Source organism: Homo sapiens, chromosome 11, assembly GCF_000001405.40.
Source record: "Homo sapiens chromosome 11, GRCh38.p14 Primary Assembly".
Taxonomy (NCBI): Eukaryota; Metazoa; Chordata; class Mammalia; order Primates; family Hominidae; genus Homo; species Homo sapiens.
This window is the reverse complement of record NC_000011.10, coordinates 7,912,206-7,931,268: the sequence shown is the minus strand read 5'-3', so window position 1 is coordinate 7,931,268 and position 19,063 is coordinate 7,912,206. Positions and strand designations below refer to the sequence as shown.

The 19,063-nt window shown below is 39.4% G+C and overlaps 1 protein-coding gene across 2 annotated transcripts, besides 1 other annotated feature; it reads left to right on the top strand.

Moving 5' to 3' along the window:
- OR10A6 (olfactory receptor family 10 subfamily A member 6 (gene/pseudogene)) lies at nucleotides 1-6,677 on the top strand. Of its 2 annotated transcripts, none has more exons than NM_001004461.2 (4): nucleotides 1-72; nucleotides 256-282; nucleotides 380-408; nucleotides 754-6,677. In NM_001004461.2, exon 4 carries the CDS (start codon nucleotides 2,607-2,609, stop codon nucleotides 3,549-3,551), a length of 945 nt encoding a protein of 314 aa, NP_001004461.1. In that variant the 5' UTR covers nucleotides 1-72; nucleotides 256-282; nucleotides 380-408; nucleotides 754-2,606; the 3' UTR covers nucleotides 3,552-6,677. The 2 variants fall into 2 exon arrangements, with proteins under 2 accessions (NP_001004461.1, NP_001376503.1); NM_001389574.1 differs by having other exon boundaries at nucleotides 380-460.
- Nucleotides 18,471-18,971: an enhancer, noted in NCBI's record as "NANOG-H3K27ac hESC enhancer chr11:7933845-7934345 (GRCh37/hg19 assembly coordinates)". NCBI's record gives its function as "activates a minimal SCP1, AML or CMV promoter by ChIP-STARR-seq in primed H9 embryonic stem cells {active_cell/tissue: H9 hESC(primed)}" and the evidence as "EXISTENCE:reporter gene assay evidence [ECO:0000049][PMID:30033119]".

Below are 19,063 nucleotides of genomic sequence, written 5' to 3'. Positions count from 1 at the left end.
AATAGGTGGCTTTTGACTACAGGTGAATCTTCTGATAAAGTAGTATGAAAATTAAAGAGACAGAGTCAACAGGTAAAAAAGTGCATATTCTGCTCCTGTGCGTTTTGGTGGGACTTCTGTTTATAGTTGTCCTCTTTGATAGTTGGAGATGTTGTTGAAGTGATGGCTCAGTGCTCAGGAGTCACTAGGCTCAGCTGAAACATTGAGTCAGTAGACTTTTTGGTTTGATGCCAGTCAATTTCTTTTTCTTTTCAGAGAAAGGTTCGGGCAATAAGTAGAAGTGTAAGTGCTTTGCATGCATAAATCATCATATTCTGGAGTTTGCAACTAGAAGAGAACTTGGTTAGTAAGTTCAACACTTACCTCTTTCCATTGGCAGGCTGAAGCCTTGGGGAGGAAGTGATCTGCGTAAGTATTACTTGTCAGTGATCTATCCAAGACACCATGAAGATCTTCTAAGGTATAAAGATTTTCTATTTTGTATAACATTCTGTAAATATTCTAATTTTTAAAACCAATCTACTTTTACATAGTTGGAACTGAATACATGTTGTTCTTTTTTTTGCCATTAGAAATGCATTTTAAATATTTGGCCTCACAGAGTCTGGTTTTAATAATTGTAGGAGGTTTTTTGACATCCAAAATACAGTACAATTTTTGTGGTTAAATACAGTCATTTGATTTTAATACATGACTATGGACAAATTCAGAAATAAAGTAACTTGTCTTCTCCTGTCTGCTAATGTCCTACAGGTCTGCACTCAAGACAGCACTGTATGCCTTCAACTTGCTGTGTCCATCTGTCTTCCTGGCTTCCTCATCTCTCACAGTGAATTTCTTTTGGTTTTCAAAACATCACACAAAAGGCAGTAGGCTTCCATTCTAGTTTTATGGTGTCACCAAGTGCCTCCTGACTTGAGCAAGTCAGTTTTCCTCCTCCTGCCATCCTCCTCCGACCTAATGGCCTTCCATTCATGACATCCTGTGATTGTGTTTGTTCATCCTCCACCCCCTTCAAATGTCATCATTCCCTTACTTAAATTTCTACAGCACGTGTTATTAATTTCCAATTGTGTTGTGTGCTGACTTCTCTTAGGCACTCTATTCCTTAAAAATAGAGTCTAGGTTTTTCTTATTTTAAAATTCATTTATTCAAAAATGTTGGTTTAAAACCTATTATGAGCCAGGGAGGGTTGTAGTGTAGGCAGTGTGTGTAGAGCAAAGAAGCAAACAAAATCTTTGCCCTCTGGGAGCTAAGCTCTAGTGAGGGATTTTATATATATATATATATATATATATATACATACACATACACATACCTTACTAGAGCTTATATATATATAATATATATAAAATATTAATCTGTTTATATTTATATAAATATTTAAAATATATTTTACACATATTTCTTAAAAAAAGGATAGAGGATATATTATATTCTATGCCATATAATGTTATAAAATCAATGAACTGAATCACTCAGTTGTGTATATATATGTGTGCATGTGTGTGTATATATATATATATATATATATATATATATATGTACACATAGAAAGAGAGAGAGAAAGAAAGAGAAAGTCCTGGGGTATGCGGTACGGGGAGGTACTAGTTTATGCAGCATACTGGTTAAGGGGTTAGAAGCTATTTTATGTAGTGTGCTTAGCTCTCTGTTGAGCTCTGGATTCATGTGTATTCCTAAGGGTGCAGAGCCTAGAAAATGGTAGCTGGTTAATCAGTGCTTGTTGAATAATTAATGATTAAATGAATTTTTTGATGACGAGTATAGTGGGAAGAGAGAAGAGAGAAAAGGAGAGAGAGAGTGAAATCTTTTAAATTACACAATGATCCCCCAAATGGTTTTTTTCTTAAGTCATCATGGTCAGAAGGATAGACCTTGGAGATCTGGCCCCAAAAACTTCACATCCAGGTAAATCCCAATATAATTGGCCAGATCCAGGATGGGCAGAAATCTGCAAGCTTGAAGCCAATTCACATAGTCTATAGGTCACCTAATATGGTTGTGTTGAAAATTCAAATCCCCTCTATGTTTCTACAGAATGTTGTTTTCTTTCTCCAAGTCATATATAGGTACTTTGAATCTAATTAATATTTTAAATAAGTTTATATCAAATATGCTGTAACATTGGATTATTAGGCTATTATCACATTTGTTGAGATATCTTTTTCAATCTATCTGCTTTTTTATATTTTATTTTTTGTAGTCTTAAGTTTTGCATTTATGTAAAATTCAGTTAAATAAAGAACACTTGCACCAATGTTATGGGATTGGAACCTAAGGTATAAAGTATTTATATTTCCATTAAGGCTATGTTTAATTTTCAAATAATATCAAATAAATTTTGATATTATTTGACAAGATCTCTGAGCCAGAATTCTTCATTTCTATTTTTTATATTTGGAATATAATCCAAGTATTTGGTCATTGTCTAAAATTGCCAAAGAAAATTTCTGTCAGGATAGGCTCCTCATCTTCTGCCAGAATTTCTGGGGTGAATGCAGACTGGAACTCTTAGCTAATGGACTGTGGCTTTATTCTGTATATACTATGTCCATAAAATCAATGCACGACTTCATTACTGAAAATGGAAAGACAAAATCAAAGCTGTGTGGTTGAATTCATCCTCTTGGGCTTTTCTAACTATCCTGAGCTCCAGGGGCAGCTCTTTGTGGCTTTCCTGGTTATTTATCTGGTGACCCTGATAGGAAATGCCATTATTATAGTCATCGTCTCCCTAGACCAGAGCCTCCACGTTCCCATGTACCTGTTTCTCCTGAACTTATCTGTGGTGGACCTGAGTTTCAGTGCAGTTATTATGCCTGAAATGCTGGTGGTCCTCTCTACTGAAAAAACTACAATTTCTTTTGGGGGCTGTTTTGCACAGATGTATTTCATCCTTCTTTTTGGTGGGGCTGAATGTTTTCTTCTGGGAGCAATGGCTTATGACCGATTTGCTGCAATTTGCCATCCTCTCAACTACCAAATGATTATGAATAAAGGAGTTTTTATGAAATTAATTATATTTTCATGGGCCTTAGGTTTTATGTTAGGTACTGTTCAAACATCATGGGTATCTAGTTTTCCCTTTTGTGGCCTTAATGAAATTAACCATATATCTTGTGAAACCCCAGCAGTGTTAGAACTTGCATGTGCAGACACGTTTTTGTTTGAAATCTATGCATTCACAGGCACCTTTTTGATTATTTTGGTTCCTTTCTTGTTGATACTCTTGTCTTACATTCGAGTTCTGTTTGCCATCCTGAAGATGCCATCAACCACTGGGAGACAAAAGGCCTTTTCCACCTGTGCCGCTCACCTCACATCTGTGACCCTATTCTATGGCACAGCCAGTATGACTTATTTACAACCCAAATCTGGCTACTCACCGGAAACCAAGAAAGTGATGTCATTGTCTTACTCACTTCTGACACCACTGCTGAATCTGCTTATCTACAGTTTGCGAAATAGTGAGATGAAGAGGGCTTTGATGAAATTATGGCGAAGGCGAGTGGTTTTACACACAATCTGACTGTGTTGAGAAGCCATGTAAGATTTAGTCACTGCATGACTGTATTCAATCTAAATTTAATAAATTTAGATTCATTAAGTTTGCATTTTTTGGCATGAGTATGACTAATTTATTGTGTTCTCCAAGTTTGATTGTATATCAGGAGCATCTTTATATGTTAATGTTTTTAGTTTTTTCACCAGTGCATAATATTCCTTAATATTGAATATAACACAATTTCAACAATTTGTTTAGTAGTAGCCCTACTGATGGTTATTTTTTTGTCACAATAGATAATACTAAAACAACCAGTTTTTATATATTCATAAATTCTGGTGCTTTAATTTTTACAGAATAGCTTTCACAAAGTAGGTTTGAAGGGTCAAAACAAATGTGAGTTTGCAAGTTTTCATAGATATTACTGAGTTACTTTTTTAAATGATTTTAACAACTTCAGACTGACCTGAGCACCCATCCTATCCCTCTACTATGTTGTATGCCAAGAAGCCTACAATAACGAGATGAGATTTTCTGCTTCTGTAGTGAAAATCTGTTCCATACATAAGTAGGAAAGAACAGTTATTTATTGAGAGGAACACAATGTCTCTACTCAGGGACCCAGAGAGTCTATAATTCAAAACTAGATATCTTCTGGTTATTTTAGAATATATATTCCTCCAGTGTTTTGAGTAGAGAACATCATGTGATCATTTTTGAAGGTCATTTAAAGTACGGCTGTCCTTTCCACTTATAAACTATATTTTTTGAAACTTGGTCAAATTTCTTTCATAAGGCAAAAATGCACCTCATACAGGCCAAACAATGTATGATTGTGTTTTTTTGTTGTGGGACATAAATATGATTACCTCATTGTGCCTATTTTCTATTATCCTTGGGTCATATCAATATTTATGTGCATCTTTCCAACATAAAATAATCACATAATAGTCTTTCTAGTTATATATAAAGATGAATAATTAGACACATTGCAACATTGAAATATAACATTTCATTCTTGCTTCCTATTTTAATATTGCTATAATAAATAGAAAGGGTTCTTCTCATTAAATCTATATCAAAGGAGTTGACAACACCCTTCATTTCTGCTCTGGGGGTGGAGGTGGGGTAATAAAGCGGTTAGAACACTTCTACAAAACAATCATTCATTGGATGGAAAACCCTTCTTTTCTTCACTACTCCTTCTGCCAAAAATAAAGGTGAAGTTGCAAATCTATTTGAATTTCAAAAAAAGAGAGAAATTTCATGAGAAGAAGGCTGGAACCTTGTGGGTAATGATGCAGGACTTTTCTTCTCAGTCACTTTGGAAGCTGGGGACCCCTGACCGGCAACAGCCCACCTGGCATGCCCCAGCTCACCTCTGTTATAGCTTGTACCTGCATTCAGCAGTTCCCAAGCTTTTGTACCACACCCAAGAAGAATGAGGATATGCTGGGCATTGAAGGGTAAGGATGGTGGAGAAGAATTTTACTGAAGGACAGAACAACTGTCAGCAGAGAGGGGATATGGGGGGTGGTTCCCCTACTGGAAGGCAGGAAAGCCCCACCATGGTGGCTGGGTCCAGGACCTTTTAGGGACTCAAAATGGGAAGTACATGCTGGTTTGTGAGGTATGCAAAAAGGTTAAAGTGAAGACACCACTCAAAGGTGGGCATGACAGTGTAGAAAAACCAATTAGGAAAGGGTAGGTATATGTAAAATAGGTGAAGAGCGGGGAACAATCAGAGGAAAGTATGTGAAATGGGAAGATAAGTTCTCAATCCGGTCCCAGAGTTTAACTTGCAGTTTGGCTTTCAGGCTTTAAACTGTCTTTTGTTTAGAGGTGGGGTTTCACCAGGAACCCACCCCATCTGCCTAGGCATTTGGCTGCCTCCTGTCGCTATCAGTGATATCTGAATGTTGTATAATACTGTTTTCATTTGGGCACCAAACAGCCCTCAGCAAAAGCCTTTGATTGGATCCCATCTCTTGATATCCTGAAATTTCCTTCTGATAGCTTTTAAAAGAACCAATTAAGTAAGACTTATGTAAAACGAACAAATCAGCAAAGAAACAAACAAAGGAAGCTAAATACAGAAAGTCTTTTTAGCCATTCTTTAGTTCATTTTGTTCATTGATTCTGTAAACCAATTTTTTTCTTAAAAAAAATTCTTTATAAAAATGTCTTAAGAGAGCTAAATCTAATGAAATAGTCTCTGCTCTTGAAGGATTTACAGTGTACTGGTCATTAGATGCTGGAAGGTTACTATATTTGACGCTTTCCTCTTTCATTGCCTTTGTGATAAATAAAGCCTGGATTGGCAAGATGTTCATGAAATTACAATAAGAAATTAGGTCACTCTAATTCTAAATTTGTATGTGTGTGTGTATATGCGTGTGTGAATCCAAGTATGTGCTGGGAATTTATACATTTGTGATGTTATGTGAGGAGATAGAAATAATCGCTAGTAAATTTAGTCATAGTTTAAAATTTTTATGTTATTCTGATGAATAGAAATTGTTAGTATGCTTCACACATAATAGCCTAATCATATCATTTCTGCATACTATTCTTCATGGTGATTTTTAGTTATAGTCACCGTGGCTGCTACTGCTGCTAGTTTTCTAGTTTATGCCCATTCTCCTTTTTCTTTAATAGAGAAAACCCCATTTTTGTTCTTTAAGTAGAAAAAAAAAACAAGTTTCTTAAGGGCAGTAATGTATCCAGTTAATAACCAATTTCCCAGTTTCTCTTTTGAACAAGGGTGGTTTGTGACACAGTTCTGACTAGTGATATATAGGTGGACATCCTTGAGTAGGGTGTCTATGAAAACTCTTTAAAAATGTGACTTAGTTAATAAGGACTTTTTGCTCTTCAACCTCCTCCTTCCTTCTACCTGAAACAAGCCATGAGGCTAGAGATAGTGCAGCTATCTTGCAATGAGAGTTAAAGCATGACTAGAAAAGCCAGGCCCTACAGAGGCCAAGTGGAAAGCTAGAGGGCCCCTGGGTCTGTGACGGCATTGCGTAGTGACCTTATCATTCCTCTCCTGCCTATTTGTTTACTGACTGTTACTTCAGAGAAATAAACCTTGTCTTTGTTTAATCCAGTATTTGCTAGGTTTTCTGTTACAGCATAACCCAATCCAGACTGTTATTGTTACAAAAAAAAAAAAAAATAAATTTAAGAAAACTTACATGTAGTGGATAATTTGGCATCTTTCTCCACAATATATTTAAGCTTAAGGTTAGAAAATTTTAAATTATATTTTTTTCTGTTTAGATCTGAAAAAGAAATTATGGAGCTGTAATACTGGTAGTCATGAATAAAGTTTGACAAGAAAAATAATATCCTAGAAGTGAAATAGAGTTACAGTTTTCTTCCAGAAAATCCAGGCAAATAGCAACCCATAATATGGACAGATTTAAAGGTTTTATAACCCCCTTCACCAAAGATGCTTAGAGGTGGCTGATGTTCCAAGTAAACTTGAAACAGAAAGCAAATCACGCAAGCTTGTTTCAAATATAAAAGTTAATACTTTTTTCCAATACATGCTTCTCAAAGAAAATAAGCAGAAAAAAAAATTTCTACCATGAAAAGCTGCACATAATTTGAGTTCCAAGTGTTTTTTTTTCTTGAAGATAAATCTTGCTTTTTATATAACTTGGATCATAAGATTATTCAAGTGTGTATTTTATTTAAGTTAGTGACTTACACATTGTTTATGTTACCACAAAATTTTCATAAACATAGTTTTTCATCAGAACATGGAAAATTATTTATTTGCTCATTCCCTATTTTTGGATGTTTAAGGTGTTTTGAATTTTATCAAGTCATAAAAAGCACTGCTAATTATATGCACAGCATTTTCCCTGCAAAAAAAATTTTAAAAAATTTTTCTAGATCAACGAGACAGAAAGTCAACAAGGATACACAGGAATTGAACTCAGCTCTGCACCAAGCGGACCTAATAGATGTCTGCAGAACTCTCCACCCCAAATCAACAGAATATACATTTTTTTCAGCACCACACCACACCTATTCCAAAATTGACCACATACATGGAAGTAAAACTCTCCTCAGCAAATGTAAAAGAACAGAAATTATAACAAAATATCTCTCAGACCACAGTGCAATCAAACTAGAACTCAGAATTAAGAATCTCACTCAAAACCGCTCAACTACATGGAAACTGAACAACCTGCTCCTGAATGACTAGTTGGTACATAACGAAATGAAGGCAGAAATAAAGATGTTCTTTGAAACCAACGAGAACAAAGACACAACATACCAGGATCTCTGGGACACATTCAAAGCAGTGTGTAGAGGGAAATTTATAGCACTAAATGCCCACAAGAGAAAGCAGGAAAGATCCAAAATTGACACCCTAACATCACAATTAAAAGAACTAGAAAAGCAAGAGCAAACACATTCAAAAGCTAGCAGAAGGCAAGAAATAACTAAAATCAGAGCAGAACTGAAGGAAATAGAGACACAAAAAACCCTTCAAAAAATTAATGAATCCAAGAGCTGGTTTTTTGAAAGGATCAACAAAATTGATAGACCGCTAGCAAGACTAATAAAGAAAAAAAGAGAGAAGAATCAAATAGACACAATAAAAAATGATAAAGGGGATATGACCACTGATCCCACAGAAATACAAACTACCATCAGAGAATACTACAAACACCTCTATGCAAAAAAACTAGAAAATCTAGAAGAAATGGATAAATTCCTCAACACATACATTCTCCCAAGACTAAACCAGGAAGAAGTTGAATCTCTGAATAGACCAATAACAGGAGCTGAAATTGTGGCAATAATCAATAGCTTACCAATCAAAAAGAGTCCAGGACCAGATGGATTCACAGCCAAATTCTCCCAGAGGTACAAGGAGGAACTGGTACCATTCCTTCTGGAACTATTCCAATCAATAGAAAAAGGGGGAATTCTCCCTAACTCATTTTATGAGGCCAGCATCATTCTGATACCAAAGCCAGGCAGAGATACAACCAAAAAAGAGAATTTTAGACCAATATCCTTGATGAACATTGATGCAAAAATCCTCAATAAAATACTGGCAAAATGAATCCAGCAGCACATCAAAAAGCTTATCCACCATGATCAAGTGGGCTTCATCCCTGGGATGCAAGGCTGGTTCAATATACACAAATCAATAAATGTAATCCAGCATATAAACAGACCCAAAGACAAAAACCACATAATTATCTCAATAGATGCAGAAAAGGCCTTTGACAAAATTCAACCACCCTTCATGCTAAAAACTCTCAATAAATTAGGTATTGATGGGACATATCTCAAAATAATAAGAGCTATCTATGACAAACCCACAGCCAATATCATACTGAATGGGCAAAAACTGGAAGCATTCCCTTTGAAAACTGGCACAAGACAGGGATGCCCTCTCTCACCATTCCTATTCAACATAGTGTTGGAAGTTCTAGCCAGGGCAATTAGGCAGGAGAAGGAAATAAAGGGTATTCAATTAGGAAAGGAGGAAGTCAAACTGTCCCTCTTTGCAGACGACATGATTGTATATCTGAAAAACCCCATTGTCTCAGCCCAAAATCTCCTTAAGCTGATAAGCAACTTCAGCAAAGTTTCAGGATACAAAAATCAATGTACAAAAATCACAAGCATTCTTATACACCAACAACAGACAAACAGAGAAGCAAATCATGAGTGAACTCCCATTCACAATTGCTTCAAAGAGAATAAAATACCTAGGAATCCAACTTACAAGGGATGTGAAGGACCTCTTCAATGAGAACTACAAACCACTGCTCAAGGAAATAAAAGAGGATACAAACAAATGGAAGAACATTCCATGCTCATGGGTAGGAAGAATCAATATCGTGAAAATGGCCTTACTGCCCAAGGTAATTTATAGATTCAATGCCATCCCCATCAAGCTACCAATGACTTTCTTCACAGAATTGGAAAAAACTACCTTAAAGTTCATATGGAACCAAAAAAGAGCCCACTTTGCCAAGTCAATCCTAAGCCAAAAGAACAAAGCTGGAGGCATCACGCTACCTGACTTCAAACTATACTACAAGGCTACAGTAACCAAAACAGCATGGTACTGGTACCAAAACAGAGATATAGATCAGAACAGAGCCCTCGGAAATAACACCGCATATCTACAACTATCTGATCTTTGACAAACCTGAGAAAAACAAGCAATGGGGAAAGGATTCCCTATTTAATAAATGGTGCTGGGAAAACTGGCTAGCCATATGTAAAAAGCTGAAACTGGATCCCTTCCTTACACCTTATACAAAAATCAATTCAAGATGGATTAAAGACTTAAATGTTAGGCCTAAAACCATAAAAACCCTAGAAGAAAACCTAGGCAATACCATTCAGGACATAGGCATGGGCAAGGACTTCATGTCTAAAACACCAAAAGCAATGGCAACAAAAGACAAAATTGACAAATGGGGTCTAATTAAACTAAAGAGCTTCTGCACAGCAAAAGAAACTACCATCAGAGTGAATAGGCAACCTACAAAACGGGAGAAAATTTTTGCAACCTACTCATCTGACAAAGAGCTAATATCCAGAATCTACAATGAACTCAAACAAATTTACAAGAAAAAAACAAACAACCCCATCAAAAAGTGGGTGAAGGACATGAACAGACACTTCTCAAAAGAAGACATTTATGCAGCCAAAAAGCACATGAAAAAATGCTCATCATCACTGGCCATCAGAGAAATGGAAATCAAAACCACAATGAGATACCATCTCACACCAGTTAGAATGGCAATCATTAAAAAGTCAGGAAACAACAGGTGCTGGAGAGGATGTGGAGAAATAGGAACACTTTTACACTGTTGGTGGGACTGTAAACTAGTTCAACCATTGTGGAAGTCAGTGTGGTGATTCCTCAGGGATCTAGAACTAGAAATACCATTTGACCCAGCCATCCCATTACTGGGTATATACCGAAAGGACTATAAATCATGCTGCTATAAAGACACATGCACATGTATGTTTATTGCGGCATTATTCACAATAGCAAAGACTTGGAACCAACCCAAATGTCCAACAATGATAGACTGGATTAAGAAAATGTGGCACATATACACCATGGAATACTATGCAGCCATAAAAAATGATGAGTTCATGTCCTTTGTAGGGACATGGATGAAATTGGAAATCATCACTCTCAGTAAACTATCGCAAGAACAAAAAACCAAACACTGCATATTCTCACTCATAGGTGGGAATTGAACAATGAGATCACATGGACACAGGAAGGGGAACATCACACTCTGGGGACTGTTGTGGGGTGGGGGGAGGGGGGAAGGATAGCATTGGGAGATATACATAATGCTAGATGACGAGTTAGTGGGTGCAGTGCACCAACATGGCACATATATACATATGTAACTAACCTGCACAATGTGCACATGTACCCTAAAACTTAAAGTATAATAAAGAAAAAAAAGAAAAAAAAAAGAATCTTAAAAAAAAATTTTTTCTCCAGTGAAATTATTTAACTGTTTAAAATTAATTCCTTTAGACTAGATTTTGGAAAAAGGATTGTTGGGTTGAAGGTTTTGAACATTGTTTAGATGTTTGATGCATATTGTCAAATTGCCAATAAGGAAGGTTGTATTGTTTGACCTACTATACTATAGCATTCCAGAGTGTCTGTTTTGTGACCTGTGATCTAGTATTATTTACTTTTTCTTTTTTTAAATTTGCATTTTTTCATTTTTCACTAATCAAAAGAAAGCTAGAAATATTATTTATTTTTAAAGAAAATATTGCTAATTATATTATGCTATATTACTTTACTATTTATTTTAATTTACTTTAAATATTTATGATAAGTTTTAATCACAAAAGTAATACATGCTTATTTTAAAATTTTACATAAATACAGAAGTAAGTAAAAGAACTATTTTTCCAAACACCAGACTTCAGTGCAATCAAAAGGATAAACAATATTCAAAACTGTTCAATTTATGGCACACAGAGATAAGAAAACAAGAAGACATTTGGGGACATCTTTATGATGAAAAAAGTATTTTATTTTATATGCCATAATTATAAGATTAACAAAGTATTAGATAAGACATTAAATATTAAATTTGTATACTTCTAATAAAGTGTTTTCAGAAATTAGGAGAAGGAATTTGAGGTTGTTTCCGCAAGTAAAGTTTTCTAATATCAGTTTCTATGCTTGAAACTGCAACATGCAATTTCTGATCAAGACATCTTAGGGATGTTTCCTTTACAGTTTTGATAGTTGTCATGAATATAAAAATGGCCAGGCATGGTGGCTCATGCCTGTAATCCCAGCACTTTGGGAGGCTGGGCTGGAAGGGTCACTTAAGCCAAGGAGTATGAGACCAGCCTGGGCAACATAGGGAGACCCCGTTTCTACAAAAATAAAAATAAAAAACTAGCCAGGCATGGTGGCATGTGCCTGTGGTCCCAGCTACTTGTGAGGCTGAGGCAGGAGGATCACTTGAGCCTGGGAGGCCAAGGTAGTGGGTGAGCTGTGATCATGCCCCTGTACTCCAGCTTGGGTGACAGAGTGAGAGAGACCCTGTCTCTGAAACAAAACAAAACAAACCATTCTGACAAGGTAGTTGATAAAAATTGTTGACGAAAAGAGTCAAACTGTAAAATATTTGCAGAGATTTATTGTGAGCCAAATGTGATGACCATGACCTATAACACAGCCCCAGAAGGTCCTGAGAACATGTGCCCAAGGTAGTTGGTTTATGGCTTGATTTTATACATTAAAGTTACAGGCAAACATCAATCAATATGTATAAGGAGGTGTACAGTGTTTCTCTGCAGAAACATGGGATAACTTGAAGTGGGAGCTTTCAGGTCACAGGTAGATTCAAAGATTTTCTGATTAGCAATTGATTGGAAGAGTTATTATCTAAAGCCTGGAATCAATAGAAAGGAGTGTTTGGGTTAAGATAAGAAGTTGTGGACACCAAGATTTTTATTATGCAGATGGAGACCCCAGGTACCAGGCTTCAAAGCTCTTATCAGACCTAAAAAGGTTCCATACTTTTAATTAATTCTCTCCTGGATCAGGGAAAAGACATGGAAAGGGAAGACGATTCTCTACAGAATGTGGATTTTCCACACAAGAGACAGCTTTGCAGGGCCATGCCATTTAAGAACATGTCAAAGAAATATATTTTGGGGAAAATAATTTCAATTTCTTTCAGGACCTACTATCTGTCATGAATCACCATACTAGAATCAGGTTTGAATTTGGTATCTTACTGTTACAAAGGGTCTGTTTCTGTGTTAAGATCTCTGTTTTAATGGTAGTGCTGGTCAATTGCATCTGAATTCCAAAGGGAGGAAGTTATAATGACACATGTCTAACCTACCTCTTCCGGTCATGGTCTGAACTAGTTTTTCAGGTTTACTTTGGAATGCCAGTGGCCGAGAGGGGAGTCCATCAGTAGGTTGGGGGCCTTAGAATTTTATTTTTGGTTTATGAAACTTAAAAATCTAACAGTTTCTTTTTTTTTCATTGACAAGTGTAATGTTACAATTTATTGTGATAATGAGCATGGATTTCATAACTATTTCAATGTTTTTCATGTTGAATATTTCAAAATGATAATTGTTAAAAGAATCTAATTGGGAGGCCATTAGACCAAGGTGGCTTTGGCACTCTAAATTCCTATGTGAACCAACCAGAGTCCAGTGTAATCAGTAAATCGAAACTAGAAACAGCACCAATCAGAAACCACCAACTAATTTCTAACCCATCAAAATTATTTTCTTTGTCTTGCTTCTGCAAAAACTTTATAAAGTTTCTGTCAGGCCTCTGAGCCCAAGCCAAGCCATCGCATCCCCTGTGACTTGCACGTATATGCACAGATGGCCTGAAGTAACTGAAGAATCACAAAAGAAGTGAATATGCCCTGCCCCACCTTAACTGATGACATTCCACCACAAAAGAAGGGTAAATGGCCGGTCCTTGCCTTAAGTGATGACATTACCTTGTGAAAGTCCTTTTCCTGGCTCAAAAAGCACCCCCACTGAGCAACTTTCGACCCCCACTCCTGCCCACCAGAGAACAAACCCCCTTTGACTGTAATTTTCCTTTACCTACCCAAATCCTATAAAACAGCCCCACCCTTATCTCCCTTTGTTGACTCTCTTTTCGGACTCAGCCGCCTGCACCCAGGTGAAATAAACAGCCATGTTGCTCACACAAACCCTGTTTGGTGGTCTCTTCACACAGACGCACATGAAATTTGGTGCCGTGACTCGGATCGGGGGACCTCCCTTGGGAGATCAATCCCCAGTCCTCCTGTTCTTTGCTCCATGAGAAAGATCCACCTAGGACCTCAGGTCCTCAGACCGACCAGCCCAAGAAACATCTCACCAATTTCAAATCAGGTAAGCGGCCTCTTCTTACTCTCTTCTCCAACCTCTCTCACTGTCCCTCAACCACTTTCTCCTTTCCACTCTTCAATCTCTCCCTTCTCTTAATTTCAATTCCTTTCATTTTCTGGGAGAGACAAAGGAGACACATTTTATCCGGGGACCCAAAACTCCGGGGCCAGTCACGGACTGGGAAGGCAGCCTTCCCTTGGTGTTTAATGATTGCAGGGATGCCTCTCTGATTATACACTCACGTTTCAAGGGTGTCAGACCACGCAGGGATGCCTGCCTTGGTCCTTCACCCTTAGCGGCAAGTCCCGCTTTTCTGGGGCAGGGGCAAGTACCCCTCAACCCCTTCTCCTTCACCCTTAGTGGCAAGTCCCACTTTTCTATGGGGCAAGAACCCTCAATCCCTTATTTCCACACCCCAACCTCTTATCTCTGTGCCCCAATCCCTTATTTCCACACCCCAACCTCATATCTCTGTGCCCCAATCCCTTATTTCCGTGCCCCAACCTCATATCTCTGTGCCCCAATCCCTCATTTCTGCACCCCAATCCCTTATTTCCATGCTCCGACCTCTTATCTCTGTGCCCCAACCCCTTTTCCCACTTTTTTGGAAGGTAAGAACCCCCAAACCCCTTCCCTCCGTTTCTCTACTCTCTCTTTTCTCTAGGCTTGCTTCCTTCACTATGGGCAACCTTCCACCCTCCATTCCTCCTTCTACTCCCTTGGCCTGTGTTCTCAAAAACTTATAACCTCTTCAACTCACACCTGACCTAAAACCTAAATGCCTTATTTTCTTCTGCAATGCCGCCTGACCCCAATACAAACTCGACAGTAGTTCCAAATAGCCAGAAAATGGCACTTTGAATTTTTCCATCCTACAAGATCTAAATAATTCTTGTCATAAAATAGGCAAACGGTCTGAGGTGCCTGACATCCAGGCATTCTTTTACACAACAGGGCCTTCCTAGTCTCTGTGCCCAGTGCAACTCATCCCAAATCTTCCTTCTTTCCCTCCTGCCTGTCCCCTCAGTACCAACCCCAAGTGTCTCTGAGTCTTTCTAATCTTCCTTTTCTACAGACCCATCTGACCTCTCCCTTCCTCCCCAGGCTGCTCCTCGCCAGGCCGAGCTAGGTCCCTATTCTTCCTCAGCCTCTGCTCCTCCACCCTAGAATCTTTTTATCATTGCCCCTTCTCACACCTGGTCCGGCTTACAGTTTCGTTCCATGACTAGCCCTCCCCCTCCTGCCCAGCAATTTACTCTTAAAAAGGTGGCTAGAGCTAAAGGCACAGTCAAGGTTAATGCTCCTTTTTCTTTATCCCAAACCAGATAGCGTTTAGGCTCTTTTTCATCAAATATAAAAATCCAGCCCAGTTCATGACTTGTTTGGCAGCAACCCTGAGACACTTTACAGCCCTAGACCCTAAAAGGTCAAAAGGCCGTCTTATTCTCAAAACACATTTTATTACCCAATCTGCTCCCGACATTAAATAAAACTCCAAAAATTAAATTCCGGCCCTCAAACCCCACAACAGGATTTAATTAACCTCACCTTCAAGGTGTACAATAACAGAAAAAAGTTGCAACTCCTTGCCTCCACTGTGAGACAAACCCCAGCCACATCTCCAGCACACAAGAACTTCCAAACACCTGAACCGCAGTGGCCAGGCATTCCTCCAGAACCTCCTCCCACAGGAGCTTGCTACACGTGCCAGAAATCTGGCCACTGGGCCAGGGAATGCCCGCAGCCTGAGATTCCTCCTAAGCTGCGTCCCATCTGTGTGGGACCCCACTGAAAATGGACTGTTCAACTCACCTGGCAGCCACTCCCAGAGCCCTGGAACTCTCGCCCAAGGCTCTCTGACTGACTCCTTCCCAGATCTTCTCGGCTTAGCGGCTGAAGACTGACACTGCCTGATCACCTCAGAAGCCCCCAGACCATCACGGACGCTGAGCTTCAGGTAACTCTCACAGTGGAAGATAAGCCCATCCCCTTCTTAATCAGTACGGAGGCTACCCACTCCACATTACCTTCTTTTCAAGGGCCTGTTTCCCTTGCCTCCATAACTGTTGTGAGTGTTGACGGCCAGGCTTCTAAACCTCTTAAAACTCCCCAACTCTGGTGCCAGCTTAGACAATACTCTTTTAAGCACTCCTTTTTAGTTATCCCCACCTGCCCAGTTCCCTTATTAGGCTGAGACACTTTAACTAAATTATCTGCTTCCCTGACTATTCCTGGACTACAGCTATATCTCATTGCCACCCTTCTTCCCAATCCAAAGCCTCTTTGCGTCCTCCTCTTGTATCCCCCTACCTTAACCCACAAGTATAAGATACCTCTACTCCCTCCTTGGTGACCGATCATGCACCCCTTACCATCTCATTGAAACCTAATCACCCTTACCCCACTCAACACCAATATCCCATCCCACAGCATGCTTTAAAAAGATTGAAGCCTGTTATCACTCGCCTGCTACAGCATGGCCTTTTAAAGCCTATAAACTCTCCTTACAATTCCCCCATTTTACCTGTCCTAAAACCAGACACGCCTTAGAAGTTAGTTCAGGATCTGCGCCTTATCAACCAAATTGTTTTGCCTATCCACCCTGTGGTGCCAAACCCATATACTCTCCTATCCTCAATACCTGCCTCTACAACCCATTATTCTGTTCTGGATCTCAAACATGCTTTCTTTACTATTCCTTTTCACCCTTCATCCCAGCCTCTCTTCGCTTTCACTTGGACTGACCCCGACACTCATCAAGCTCAGCAAATTACCTAGGCTGTACTGCAGCAAAGCTTCACAGACAGCCCCCATTGCTTCAATCAAGCCCAAATTTCTTCCTCATCTGTTACCTATCTCGGCATAATTCTCATAAAAACACACGTGCTGTCCCTGCCAATCGTGTCCGACTGATCTCTCAAATCCAAGCTCCTTCTACAAAACAACAACTTCTTTCCTTCGTAGGCATGGTTAGTGCGGTCAGAATTCTTACACAAGAGCCAGGACCATACCCTGTAGCCTTTCTGTCCAACTTGACCTTACTGTTTTAGCCTAGCCCTCATGTCTGCGTGCAGCGGCTGCCGCTGCTTTAATACTTTTAGAGGCCCTCAAAATCACAAACTATGCTCAACTCACTCTCTACAGTTCTCATAACTTCAAAAATCTATTTTCTTCCTCATACCTGATGCATATACTTTCTGCTTCCCGGCTCCTTCAGCTGTACTCACTCTTTGTTGAGTCTCCCACAATTACCGTTGTTCCTGGCCCAGACTTCAATCCAGCCTCCCACATTATTCCTGATACCACACCTGACCCCCATGACTGTATCTCTCTGATCCACCTGACATTCACCCCATTTCCCCAGATTTCCTTCTTTCCTGTTCCTCACCCTGATCACGCTTGATTTATTGATGATGGTTCCACCGAGCCTAATCGCTGCACACCAGCAAAGGCAGGTTATGCTATAGTACAAGCCACTAGCCTGCCGCTTAGAACCTCTCATTTCCTTTCCATCATGGAAATCTATCCTCAAGGAAATAACTTCTCAGTGTTCCATCTGCTATTCTGCTACTCCTCAGGGATTATTCAGGCCCCCTCCCTTCCCTACACATCAAGTTCAAGGATTTGCCCCCACCCAGGACTGGCAAATTAGCTTTACTCAACATGCCCGAGTCTGGAAACTAAAATACCTCTTAGTCTAAATAGACACTTTCACTGAATAAGTAAAGGCCTTTCCTACAGGGTCTGAGAAGGCCACCGCAGTCATTTCTTCCCTTCTGTCAGACATAATTCCTCAGTTTAGCCTTCCCACCTCAATACAGTCTGATAACAGATGAGCCTTTATTAGTCAAATCAGCCAAGCAGTTTTTCAGGCTCTTAGTATTCAGTGAAACCTTTATATCCCTTACAGTCCTCCATCTTCAAGAAAAGTAGAATGGACTAAAGGTCTTTTAAAAACACACCTCACCAAGCTCAGCCACCAACTTAAAAAGGACTGAACAATACTTTTACCACTTTTCCTTCTCAGAATTCAGGCCTGTCCTCGGAATGCTACAGGGTACAGCCCATTTAAGCTCCTGTATAGACTCTCCTTTTTGTTAGGCCCCAGTCTCATTCCAGACACCAGACCAACTTAGACTGTGCCCCCAAAAAAACTTGTCATCCCTACTATCTTCTGTCTAGTCATACTCCTATTCACCATTCTCAACTACTCATACATGTCCTGCTCTTGTTTACACTGCCGGTTTACACTGTTTTTCCAAGCCATCACAGCTGATATCTCCTGGTGCTATCCCCAAACTGCCACTCTTAACTCTTGAAGTAAATAAATAATCTTTGCTGGCAGGACTATGCTGAATCTCCTTAGGCACTCTCTAGTCAGCTATCCTGAGTCGTCCCAATTCTTAGACCTTTTATACCTGTTTTTCTCCTTCTGTTATTCCATTTAGTTTTTCAATTCATACAAAACTGTATCCAGGCCATCACCAATCATTCTATACGACAAATGTTTCTTCTAACATCCCCGCAATATCACCCCTTACCACAAGACCTCCCTTCAGCTTAATCTCTCCCACTCTAGGTTCCCACGCCGCCCCAATCCCGCTTGAAGCAGCCCTGAGAAACATCGCCCACTCTCTCTCCATACCACCCCCCAAAAAATTTTCACCGCCCCAGCACTTCAACACTATTTTATTTTTCTTATTAATATAAGAAGGCAGGAATGTCAAGCCTCTGAGCCCAAGCCAAGCCATCGCATCCCCTGTGACTTGCACGTATATGCCCAGATGGCCTGAAGTAACTGAAGAATCACAAAAGAAGTGAATATGCCCTGCCCCACCTTAACTGATGACATCCCACCACAAAAGAAGGGTAAATGGCCAGTCCTTGCCTTAAGTGATGACATTACTTTGTGAAAGTCCTTTTCCTGGCTCATCCTGGCTCAAAAAGCACCCCCACTGAGCACCTTTCGACCCCCACTCCTGCCCGCCAGAGAACAAACCCCCTTTGACTGTAATTTTCCTTTACCTACCCAAATCCTATAAAACGGCCCCACCCTTATCTCCCTTTGTTGACTCTCTTTTCGGACTCAGCCCGCCTGCACCCAGGTGAAATAAACA

Coding starts and splice junctions, on each gene's coding strand:
- OR10A6 (NM_001004461.2), top strand. CDS start 2,607: ATGGAAAGACAAAATCAAAGCTGTGTGGTTGAATTCATCCTCTTGGGC.